This window comes from Homo sapiens, chromosome 2 (genome assembly GCF_000001405.40).
Source record: "Homo sapiens chromosome 2, GRCh38.p14 Primary Assembly".
NCBI lineage: Eukaryota > Metazoa > Chordata > Mammalia > Primates > Hominidae > Homo > Homo sapiens.
In genome coordinates this window covers 226,627,545-226,641,189 of record NC_000002.12, presented here as the reverse complement: position 1 = coordinate 226,641,189, position 13,645 = coordinate 226,627,545, and positions in this window count along the sequence as shown.

The window sequence follows — 13,645 nt, the reverse complement described above, 5'->3', positions numbered from 1 at the left end:
ATATGTATCCAGGTGTGTCTATCTGGGTATAACTCTGGATATGTGCACAAAGAGTTAATTAACGTGGCTGGACATGGTGGCTCATGCCTGTAATTCCAGCACTTTGGGAGGCTGAGGTGGATGGATCACTTGAGGTCACAGGTTTGATATCAGCCTGGCCAACATGGCAAAACCCTGTCTCTACTAAAAATACAAAAATTAGCTGGGTATGGTAGTGCACGCCTGTAATCCCAGCTACTAGGGAGGTGGAGGCAGGAGAATTGCTTGATTCCAGGAGGCGGAGGTTGCAGTGAGCTGAGATGGCACCACTGCACTTCAGCCTGGGTGACAGAGCGAGACTCTGTCCAAAAGAAAAATACCACAAGAGTAAACATTTTCTTGACATCCCTAGCATGCATACTTATATATAATAAATATTGATTCACTGAAGAAATGGTATTAACTAGAAGATAATTGATCGTTTTAATGTCAATTCATTTAGCATCGTATTCTACATGTGTTGTACCTTCCATCTCTCCTATTCCAGCTGAGCCTAAAGGTAGAAACATGAATGATGAATAGAGTCAGGACACTTCCACAATTCTTCAGTTTTTTCAGGATCCATTTTCTATTTATGTGTTTGTTCCTCCCCTCACCCCAGCATCTAGTACATGGGCAGATCACTATGAATCTCTGTGGCTTTGCTACTCAGGATCAGCAACATCTGGGGACTTGTTAAAAATGAAGAATCTTGGACCCTACCTTAGCTTTACTGAATAAGAATCTCTGTTTTAACTAGATCTAAGTGATTCAAGTGAACAGTCACATCTGACAAGCTCTGCTGCAAGAATACTAGAGGAAACGATACCTGTCAGGCATATTCTGGGAACTCACAATTTAATCAGGAGACAAAAATGTACACAGATAGCTGGTATGGATCTCAGTCCACCAGCCTTGGTATGCACAAAATTTGATTTTATTTTTTCTACAACTCAATTTAATTTGTTTCCAGTTTTATTCTGCTGGTATGATGGAAACTACTTCGAATAATCTAAAGCTTCCCTCTCTCTCTTCTGGTACAATAGCAAGGTGTTGGGATCAAGGGACAATGAGCTCATCTATTCCTCTATTCATTGTGGTATCCTCTGGGACTTGCATGGGCTGCCTGGTCCTTGATTGCCCATGGATTGTGATCATCTTATTCTTTTCCTTTTGGGCCTCTTTAAGTCTAATAACTGAGGGACTGTAACCTTGATGCCGGGCTGGAACATGGGGATTTCAGTGAGGCTTCCCATGGCCCTGTCACCTGGACACAGCCCGCAAGGGCCTGTCCAACAATTAGAACAGGAGAGTGTTTTCATGTGTATGTCCTTGTGTGTGTGTCCTGGGTGTCCATGGGTATCCATGTCTGTGGCTATTTGCATATGTGTGTCCATGTGTGTCTGTGTATGTATCTGTGTTTGTGTGTCCATGTGTTTTTGTGCCTATATATGTGTCCATGTGTGTATGTGTGTCCATGTCTATCTGTATGTGTGCTCATGTATATATGTTCATGTGTGTCTCTATGTGTGGCTTTCCGTATATGTCTGTGTGTGCCATTTGTATAAATATGTTTGAGTGTGCATGTGTGTCTATGTGTCTGTGTGTCTCTGTGTCTAGCTGTATATTTGTGTTTATATATATCTCTGTGCCTGTGTATATGTGTCCATGTGTGTTGCTATGACCATACATGTCTCTGTGTGTCTATGTGTATAAGTGTGTCTATCTGTCTGTGTGACCATATGTGTCTGGGTCTCTGTGACCATGTGTGTCTGTGTGGGGGGCGTTCTTCCTGAGACCCACTCAGGACTTTGCCCGCATAACTCTCTCCCTTATTCTTACCTCACCTCAGGAAACCTTTTCTACCCTCAGGGAACTCCTTCCCCCATTGATTTGTTCCATCTTCCCAGAAGCAGCCCTCTGCGGTGATGTCCACGTCAGAGGCACAAGCATGATCTCCGAGGGGCGGAAGTTCCTGGAGCCACACATGCCCAGGAGATTCTGCCACGCCAATTTCCTCGGGGGCAAGGGATTCTGAGCCTACTCTTTGCTTCTGTGGGGGAAAATTACCATGAGATAAAACCAAATAAGATAATGCTGCAAAAATATTATTCTGCTACATGAATGGAAGAACAACTAGAGATCAGTTACAAGGTGAGACATAACCTGGGGCCTGACTGTAGAAAGTAGCAGTCATGAATGAGCAAGCCACCCGTTTAGGAAGAGCAGCCCGGTGAGGCTCCATCTTTATTTAAGCAGTGAGGGCTGAGTGTCCCTCTGTGCGCATGTGGGCGTGGCTAGATCTTCGAGGAGGAATTCAAGATACCAGGGCTTCTGTGTGGGGCCGTGGGTGTGCTGATGCCCGCTCCTTGTGTACAGTCTTCACCAAGTTATCAACTTCAAGCTGCTGTCAAAAGTGAGGCTGTGTTGCCCCAGCTGGGGCGAGTCATTCAAGGGCTGCCTCGCTGAGCCACTTTTGTATATTTTATCCTCCCTCAGCAGACTACATGAAGGTTGTTTGGATATTCTGCTATTTCCTGTTCCTTTTGCAAGTCTTTTCCAATGGAAAACATACAAAAGGGTGAGAGGCATTAAGTATGGAACTAAATAAGATGCTGTTTAGCATATACACAGTCTCTGCTATTCACTCAGCAACTCTGAACTTGACTTTTCTGTTCTTTATTATTTTTTTTTTGTAAACAGGGTCTTGCTGTGTTGCCCAGGCTGGAGTACAGTGGTGTGATCACATGAACTCGAATTTTTAGTGCAGAAAAGGATTTCTTTATCTCTTTGTCTGTCTCTCTCTGTTTGTCTGCCTCTGCCACTTCACCTTGTATGATTATTGAATACTTTCCCAACCCAGTACTTGTGCTAATGGAATACTGTCCTGGAAGTATCATAAGTACTTCTTATGATAGTAGAATACAGTAATAGACCCCGGCATTGGGCCTCACTAAACTGTATTCCAATAGTGGCATGCAAATAACCATTCCCTCTTCCCTTCTTCATTCTTTGGGGACACTACATTCAGAGTGTCTTTTTCCTATAATTATAACTAATTAACTTAAATAGGAAAATTTTTTCTGATATGCCTGCATTTCTAGATGAAACAATAAATAGGCACAGGTTGTGGAGGTTGTGGTGATGAGTCTTGTAAGAAATTGTAAACTGGTATCAGTGTTGTGAGACACATAAGAGTCGCTGTCACCTGCGAGTAACTTTACAGGTTTTAAAGCACTTTTGTATATGTATCTGTGAATACATTCGAGCCTCACAACAATGCACTGAAATCGATAAAGCAGGTTTTTCTTGTTTTATGATGAGAAGATTGTGGGTCAGTGACTTGCCCATGGTCATACAAGTGGCAAAAGGTAGACTTGGAACTTTAGTCTAAGTCTTCTGATTCCAAGACCTCTGATGAACAATGTGTGTTAGACTAACATGGGCTTGTTTCCTTTTTTATTAAATTTAAATAGAGATGGGGTCTCGCTATGTTGGCCGGGTTGATCTTGAATTCCTGGCCTCAAGTAATCCTCCCACCTTGCCCTCCCAAAGTGCTGGGATTACAGGCATGAGTCACTGTGCCTGGCATGGTAACATAGGTTTATTTCTTCATACAAATTTTAATTGGATAAACATATGTAATTGGGTCTGCACAATACACTACTTTTGACAAGTTTAATGTCCTTAAATCCTAATAGATTGGTTCATAAGGTAGCTGGTGGGCACACCCACTGTTTTTGTCTTCTTAGCACACAATCCTCTCAACTCCTGATAACAAAACACTGATTTTCCTTTGGGGTCAAATTTTCCCTGTTATTTGCAGATTTGGTAGGACAGTGTCCCGACCCCTCACTGGCCCAGGGCTGGGCAGAATTGCTCAATTAGACTCTCTCTCTTGAGAATTTGAATCCTCAGCTGAGTGGCTTGATGGAAAATTGTCCCCATTCTATGACAGAATCCCCCCGAGACTGCCTACTAGTTTCTGCTGCTCAGATCTTTTGAGTTTTCTGGTTCTAATCCTTTCTGAGGTCTGTATGGTCAGATTTTTTTTTAATTCTATGAATTTCCCCATACTCTTTTGATGAATTTCTTTGTGATTAGCTTAGCCAGATTTATTTTAGTTGCTTATACTAAAATATGCCTAACTTATGTAGGAATTATGAAAGTAAAGTAGAAACAAGAAGTGTGTGTGCATGTGTGCAAGCACGCGTGTGTGTGAGATTTACCTCTTGTCAGATATATTTCCTCCCTTCTCACTTTCATGGAAGGAGTAAACTTCCCTGCTCCTTTAATGTTGGACTTGACCATATGGCTTTCTTTGGCTTCATGGTGGATAGAAAGTATTTCACCACTCCTTTGGGCTTAGAATGTGATTTGCTTTGGCTAGTGGGATGTTAGCAGTTGTGACTCAACAAAGGCTGAAAATGCTCTTGTATGGTAAGTCCTGGGTTCTTGTACATCTGCTGTTTCCATGAAAGGAACATGACCAGGTTAGTTTGCAGGTTCCAGGAGGAGGGGAATGAGATACATTGTGCTGAGCCACCCAGCAGAGCTGCCCCAGCCTGGATAAGCAGACCCTGCCCCAGCAAATCTACAGATAATGTGAACTAAATAAATGTTTATTGTTGCTGTGTTAGGCCATATTTACTTGGCTATAGAGAAATATTTGAGACTGGGTAATTTTTAAGATAAGACGTTTAATTGGCTCATGGTTCTGCAGGCTGTACAGGAAGCATAGTGTTGGCATCTGCTTCTGGGGAGACCTCAGGAAGCTTGCAGTCATGGTGGAAAGCAAAGCAGGAGCTTGCACATCACATGGCCAGAGCAGGAGCAAGAGAAAGAGAGAGCTGGGGGGTAGCTGCCGCATTTTACAACAACCAGATCTTGAGAGAACTCACTCACTATTGCGAGAACAGCACCAAGCCACGAGGGATTTGCCCCCATGACTGAAACACCTCCCGCTAGGTCCCACCTCCAACATTGGGGATTATAATTCAACATGAGATTTGAAGAAGACATCCAAACTGTATCCGTTGCAAACCACTGAGGTTTTTTAAAGCTGTTCATTATGCAAGATTTCTGTACCAATTGCAAATGAATATAGAAATTTGGATTAACAAGTGGTATGCTGGCTATAAGTAAAACCTAAATTATATGGGACTAGGTGGTGGTATAGGTTGGTAAAATACTGAAGAAACCATCATAGCAGCCTGCAAAAGGGATGACCCATGTTCTGTAACTGTGGTAAACTGGAAGGTAGCTATGTAACCAATGAACTTGTGGACTTGGGCAAGATGGTTTCTATGAGAATGTTGGAGTATTGGCTGGCTTCTTTTAGCCAGCTAATATATAATATTAGCTGTATGATATCGTGAGCTCAGAAAATGACCAGCTGGCCTGCAAATAGAATTTCAAGGGACTGTAGAAATCCCAGAACTTGCTGGTTTAGAAAAACATGAGTTTCTCAGACCATCTCTCCATTCAGTAGGAGATTCTTAAATGAAGATACAGTCTGACCACAGAGGTCAAGTTCCGGTACCCCAGCAAGACATGGGCTCTCACTCTAAACTTTGCTCCAAGGCTTAAAGACCAAAGCAAAAGTTGGGCTGTTAACAACTTTTAAAAACCTGTGGAAGGAATAAAATGGCAACTAGAATACCCTTTCAGTCAGACGAAAGGTATCTTAGAAAGCTTATGGATGTCTGTGGTCCCACAGCAGCCTCAGACTCCACTGCCAAGAGTGAAGTCCAGAGATAGAGGCATGTGTTAAAAATAATGGTGGGCGTGGCTTTTGGAATATGAAATAGACAGGAGTAGTTAACAGTATGCAAGAATAGCAGACATTTATTCATCTAAAGATAGTTTTAAAATTTTTAAACAAGGAAATTAAAAAAAAACTCAGAATGACTAAGTAACTAAAACCTGGATATTCACCACATGAAAATCTGCCCTGAGAAAATGCGCAATAAAAAAATAGGAATTCTAATATGATGATATGTAAATCAGAATGAAATGTCAGATATTTCGCTTCCAAGCCAGGAATGAGTTGAGATGACTGCAGCTGTTAGTGGACTATAAGCCCAGAAGTCTTGCCATGATAAAAGGCAAGTATCAATGATGCAGGGAGATATTCACAATGCATGTGATAAATATCAGGAAACAAAATCAGAGTAAGAAGCCCAGAATTAGAGACCAATGAAATAACAGCAGTTCTACTGAGAGCTTTGAAACTGAAGAGAAAATGTTGAAACCCAAGGAAGATGGAAAATTTAAGTTGGCTAAAATGAGTCTATTGTGCCTTGATTTTAGTTTAGTTCTTAACTTTGTATTCCCTAACCACCAAAATTTACAGAGTTAAAAATGGGATTAATATTCTAATATCATAAGCAAAATAATGGTAAGAATGACAAAAGTTGATTTGGCTATCTTTATCTTTCGCCAGTAAAAATTAGAACTACTTTTCCAAAATCTTTACATGATATAGTTGAGTGAACTTGGCCCGTTTTTAGTAGAGATAAAGAATTTTTTTAACCTCTATTTTCTCAAACTGTCTTTTCTTTAGTGGGATCTTTTCCTTGTTCATAGACAAGTCTCTAGAAATGTACTGTACAGTATGGTAGCCACTAGCCACGTGTGGCCATTAAAATTTTAAAAAATTAAAAATTCAGTTTCTTATGTACACACTAGCCACATTTTAGGCCCTTAGTAGTCACATGTGGCTAGTGGCTATCATATTGGACAGTGCAGATATGCAATGTTTCTACATAACAGAAAGTTCTAGTGAATAACACCCTTTGAGAACCTCATACTGTGCTTTTGATATCATAAGTGTCTCATAAATATTTTTCAACTAAAATTATTACAACTGGTTGCATTTTTCAACATCTCAGAGAAATATGCAGATGATCTTATGCCAAGAGACTGTCACTACCAAGGGAATGAGTGCAGAAAGAGAAGAAGAGAGGGCTGAGAACTGGTCTAGGGACACCCTGACATTAACCAGTTAGAGAGGAGGAAGCAGCCAGGAGGACTGTGAAGGAGCAAGTGCAGCAGGAGGAAAGATGGAGAGGAGAAGAGTGTGTGCTGAAAGCCCAGAGAGGCCAGGTGTCAGGGAAAAAGTTCTGCCGATAGGTCAAATAAGGGGAGGACTGGGGATTTACCATTTCTGGTTTCATTTTTTAATAGTTTTACTGTCACAAAAAGCAATATATTTATACTTCTCTTCGTTTCATCAAATATATCAGCATTGATTTCTGCTCTTAAAGATAAGGATTTGTCCTATGTATATTCACCTTTTTTTGATTTAACCTCTTCTTTATAGGTTCTGTTATTTTTCGTTCATGATAACTCGTGTTATTTTATGCACTTTGCTTATGCTTATATCTCTATTTCTTGATTTTCTTTCTTTTTTTTTTTTTTCTGAGACAGAGTCTAACTCTGTCACCCAGGCTGGAGTACAGTGGTGCAATTTCGGCTCACTGCAACCTCCGCCTCCCAGGTTCATGTGATTCTCCTGCCTCAGCCTCCTGAGTAGCTGGGATTATAGGCATGTGCCACCACGCCTGGCTAATTTTTGTATTTTTATTAGAGATGGGATTTCACCATGTTGGTCAGGCTGGTCTCGAACTCCTGACCTCATGATCTGCCTACCTCGGCCTCCCAAAGTGCTGGGATTACAGGCGTGAGCCACCATGCCTGGCCAATTTTATTTCTTAATTCTTCAATTTGAGGTGGTATTTCTTTGACTCCTAACTACATAGGTGGAGGAAATTAGCCTCCTATACATCAGGTAACCGTCTCTCTTCTGACTGCTGACTTCTGTCAGTTCTGTCTTTCCATTTATGTTAATGATGTAAATGTTTAACATTTACATCATGTTCTGTAAATGTAATTAAGTCTCTTGTATTCTTCTGTGTCTATAGGTTGACTGTAAAAATGGAAAACCAATAAATATAAATCATGATGTTATAATAAGTTTTTGCTGAACTAAGACTTATGATTGTCAATTTGTCTATTTGATGAAAGTGGCACTTTACTTTGGGGAATCATAAAAATATAGTACTTACCTTACACATTTAAATGCGTGTTTATTTGCCCATATTTGAATGTAAGGCCGGGGATCTTTTCTTTGAGCAGATCTAATAATCACTGTGAGAGATTTGGAACAATGGAGTCTCAGTATCTCACTGAAGCAGGCTGTGCTTAGAACAATATATTTTGAGTGACTATAATGCCAGATTCCATGAATAAATAACATTGTCCTATAATTGACATATGAAATGACATGAAAGGAAAGTTTGTCTGAAAAATTCCTTTGGTGTATAATTATAATATTACATTCCTAGAGTAAGCACTGTGTTAATAACATTGATTAAATAAATATGCATAATTGAACACAGCTATTGCTTTTATGCTACAAAAAAACCCATTTCTTGCCATTAAGCACTGGCAAATAATAATGAAAATGACAACTAAAACTAAAGCGATAAAAATGCATATCATCTGCAAAATAACTGTACCATTTACACATATATGGCAAATTCCTCTGCACATAAAATTTCTTTATTGGCCTTCTGCAGCATTCTTCTTGTGGTGGTTTTAGTCCCCCCACAACCTAAATTCTCATCTTAAAGGTGAAGAAATTGCTTTTAATAATTGGTGGGTGAGTTTTTGCTGCTTGCCACTCAAACAGGTTTGGAGGTAGATTCCAGGTTTAGCAACTGATGTTCTGGGCAGCTTTCAAGTATTCTCATCTCCATGTGGTTTATTTTTCATCTCTGGGCTCAGTGTAATATTATTTGATGAGAACTTTTTTTAAGTGCTACTATTAGGACAGAAAATGAATTCATGAATCCTTCTGGAGTCTTGTTATTTATAAGTGATAATTCGGTGCAACCATTAGAGCCCTAAGTATATTTTTATGTACAAAAAAACACCTGGTTTCCCAATACCCAGAAGTATACTTTGTTAACATTGTCTCCTATTTGCCTCTGGTCTTTGTTTTTTTTTTTTATATAAAAGAAATAAAATGGCCTCAGTTCTTTTTAATAAAATTTTACACATATAAACTAAGAACAAAGAACTGTTTTGACAGTGTAGAGTTCTAAGAAAAAGAGGCCCAGATAAAAGAAGCAGTAAGTGCCACAACATCTACTGCCAAAGGAACAACAGTGCTCGAGTGATGTTTTCCAGGCAGCCCCACGGCATAAATCTTTAATCCCAGAGCCTTTCATGTGACATTTATATATAAAAACTGTTTATAGAGCAATGTAACCTTTTCCTGTGTTCATTCGGGTTTATCAGGGCTGCCAATGCTTCAGTTCTTACGCTTTGACTGCTCATAATACGTCAGCAAATATGATCAGTGCATTTTGCCTTTGCTCTCACCAGAACCAAATAAGGGGCTGATGTACCAGTTACAAAACAAGGTCAATGGCAAGAAGACGAACCTCACACAGCTGGACTTGCAGAATCCAGTGCCTGTGCACCAGTCACTGAACTGTTTTGCAGCAGGCTAGAGTGGGAATTTCTCTTCACAGCATCCATAAATTTGGACTTAATTCACCTTTGCAGAAAATTAAGGGGGGATAAATTCAATTTTGTTTAAGCAACATAAAACTGGTCCAGAAATAAATTAGTTGCTCTATTAGAAAATAACCTGCACAAGTTAGGGAATAGGATATTTTTTAGTCATAGATCTGGAAAAAGGCCACTGAGAATGATTTGCCCATGTATTGCGTCAATTAGAAAATCAATTTTACAGGACTATCCAGCCAACTCTGTGAGGCTGTTGGTTACAAGTGACAGAAACCCAACTCAAAATAGATTTTGTGAAAAAGGGGAGTAGATTGACAGGGGTAACTAGGGAGCCAAAGACATACACTGGACCTTGGGCATCCGTGGCTTCAGGCCTCTTGGAGATGCTTTCCTCTGCCCGGCTTACCTCTCTTCCTCTCCCTAGGAAGTAGCACAATGGCCCCCAAGAGTTCCAGATGCATGTGGCTTTCAGTGTTTATAATCATAGAGAAAGAGAAACCACCTCTCATGGCAAGAGTGCTGGGAACATTATGATTTGGCTCAGTTTGGGGAAGGGACCCTTTCCTGACCTAACCGCCATGCCCAGGGTGTGGGCTCAGTTCCCTGAGTGACCTAGCCTGGGTCGTGGCTGCTTCTTCAGCAGGAAGGTGAGATCAATTCACCTGTACCATGTGGTCTAAGGAGAGGTCCCTCCCAAAATGGTGGATGGGTGACTCCTCAAAGGATGGGATGCTGCACAGACCAGAAAAATACCTGCACACTACAGTTAGTCATTGACAGAGCTACAAATGGAACTCAGGATGTATTAGTCTGTTTTTGCACTGCTCTAAAGAAATACCTAATACTCAAGACTCGGTAATTTATAAAGGAAAGAGGCTTAACTGACTCACAGTTCCACAAGGCTGGGGAGGCCTCAGGAAACTTACAATCTGGCACAGAAGGTGAAGGGAAAGCAAGGACCTTCTTAACATGGTGGCTAGGAGAGAGAAGAAAGTGAAAGGCCCAGGGGAAACTGCCATTTATAAAACCATCAGATCTCGTGAAAACTCCCTCACTATCATGAGAACAGCACGGGGGAAACCACCCCCATGATCCAATCACCTCCCTACCTCCACACGTGGGGATTACAATTCGAGATGACATTTGGGTGCCGATGCAGAGCCGAACCATATCACAGGAATACTGACTCCATGTTTATCTGTAATGGTTGATTTGTAGTTTCTCCTCTCTGCCTAATCAGTGTGTCCAGTCTATGGAAGCAAAAACACCAGAGTTGGTGGGTATGTGTGTATGTGTGTAACTGTCAGCGTACACAGACACATCCGTGCTTGGGTTTGGAAGGCTAAGGATTAGTAAAGAAGTAGGCTAATTCCTGGAAGGAGCTGTTTCTTTATAAGAAAGTTCGGCCGGGCGCGGTGGCTCACGCCTGTAATCCCAGCACTTTGGGAGGCCCAGGCGGGCAGATCACGAGGTCAGATCGAGACCATCCTGGCTAACATAGTGAAACCCCGTCTCTACTAAAAATACAAAAAATTAGCCAGGCGTGGTGGTAGGCGCCTGTAGTCCCAGCTACTCGGGCAGGATAATGGCGTGAACCCGGGAGGCGGAGCTTGCAGTGAGCTGAGATCGGGCCATTGCACTCTGGCCTGGGCGAAAGAGCAAGACTCTGTCTCAAAAAAAAAAAAAAAAAAAAAAAAAAAAAAGATCATAAATGCATCATAGACCAAAAAATATTAACAGGTGCTGTCTCAAGTGTTTACCTTTGAGTTACAGTACTATAAAATGCAGCAGTAATCTGGGCTTTAAGGCAATGGCTGACGGGGAAACTAAAAAATGCACACATGTGCTAAGGAACCCAGTGTCTAGAACCATCTTTACTATCACCTGAGTTTCTCCTCCAAAACTCATGTTGGAATTTAATTGGCATTGTGATGGTTTAAAGAGGTGGGACCAGGTGAGACCTATAAAAGGTGATTGGATGAATGAATTAATGGATTAATGGGTGATCAAAAGAGTGGGTTGGTTATCTCTGAAAGTGGCTCTGTTATAAAAGCCAGCATGGTGGCTTGCTCCTCTCGCCCTGTCATGCCTTCTGTCATGTTATGACAGCAAGAAGGACCTACCTAGATGTGGCCCCTCAACGTTGTACTTCTCACCCTCCAGAACTGTAAGACATACATTTCTTTTTATTATAAATTACTCAGTCTATAGTATTCTATTATAACAACAGAAAATGGACTAAGACAGTATAAAACAAAACAAAACAAAAAAGCAAACACTGGTTTGTGTTTTCCTGAGAAAAAAAGATGCCTCATGAAGTTCACACGTCTTTTACTAATGGTTCCAGCTGGAAGAAAGAAATTTAGCCAGTGAAACTTAACAAATGAACTTTTTTTAGCATTATGGAAACTTGCAAACTTCAAAACAGTTCTGCTACTATGTGCTCCGTTTTTATTTAGTCAGGTCGCTACTTAACTGTCCTCATATTTCAATCGAGTAAAACTGTAAGAACAAAGACAGCAGTGAGAAGATTCCTATTCTAACATAATAAAGTTAATAAATGAACACATTTCATTTGAGCATGACACTATCACATAGCAATCTGTGTGAGGGAATAAAAAAAAGATGTTCTATCTTGGTTATCATGTATCAATAGATGTTCTAGTACATGTGTCTTTGCCTAGAACAATAGTCCAAAGATTTTAGTGTGCAAACTTTAAAGGAGTTGTTAAAACTCAGATGCCTGGGCCAGACCTCCAGAGTGTCTAATTCAATAGGTCTGTGGTGGGCCCAATAATTTGTATTTCTGGTAAGTTCCCAAGAGATGTTGATGTTGCTCATCTGGGACTACACTTGGAGAACCACTCCTCTAGACAAATCCCAATGCTAAGCTCAGATGAGTAATTATAATCCATAGTTCAGTTGAGAGCTGGGTTGAGGATGCCTTGGGGACATAGTAGCCAGAGTTTCTAGCAGTGGTGAAGTTCCTAATTATGGCACAGGCACAATTCCAAGAGGGAAGCATATGGATGAACATGGGACTCCGGCTCATCTGCAGAGTAAAATGGCAGGGTTTATATCCTTGGGAAGACACATCAAACAATATTTAGGAAGGTTGTTAGGAATTTTGTCAAGTACTCTGGGTTTTAAGAGCAAGGTTTCAGGACTGGCTGGGAATTTCAGTGCCGATTAGGATAGAAGTCTCGTTAAACAGCCTTGTGTATGTATTGGGCTCACAGGAAAGGCTGGAGCTGGAGACTATGTGGATTCCAAGAAGATGACTTTGACTAGGCTTAAGGCAACCAAAGATGGCCCCAAGGATGGAGTGGGTGGGATGGGATGGTGGTAGTGGTGCTGACCAAATACTGAGCCAAGTGAACTCTGGATAAAGACCCAACTATAACTGAAAGTTGTCTGTTCAAAGCCTGCCATGATGAGGATTAGAGCAGGCAGGGTCTATCTGGAACACTAGTTGTGCTTCTAGGCTTTTTTTGACCTTGATATATATTAAGAAATACAAATTACATTGCATCGATAGCACAATAGTGTGACTATGGTCAATAATAACTTAATTGTACATTTTAAAATAACTTAAAGAGTGTAATAGGATTGTTTGTAATTCAAGGGATAAATGCTTAATGGGATGGGTACCCCATTCCCCATGATGTGCTTATTTCACATTGTATGATGGTATCAAAACATCTCACGTACCCCATAAATATATACATCTACTATGTACCCACAAAAAACGTTTAAGAAAACCAAATTATACCATGGTACACACACACACACTCACACACACACAAACACAGAGTTTCCCCAAATGATACTTCCTTTACCATGTGCAATGCTGTTTATTCTATTTTAATCTATGTATTCTATCACATTCTATTACTTCATGAAAATAACAAACACCTTTTGCTATTCAGGAATTTATTTTATGACCACACTAACGGGTAAAGACCTGTAGCTGGAAAACGTTCACCTAGAACTTGCAGTTGATGCCATCTGCCTTGACCTACAGTGGTCACTCTCATCCTGCATGCATCGGCTAAGACATAAACACTGGCTGTAGAACATAAAGTCA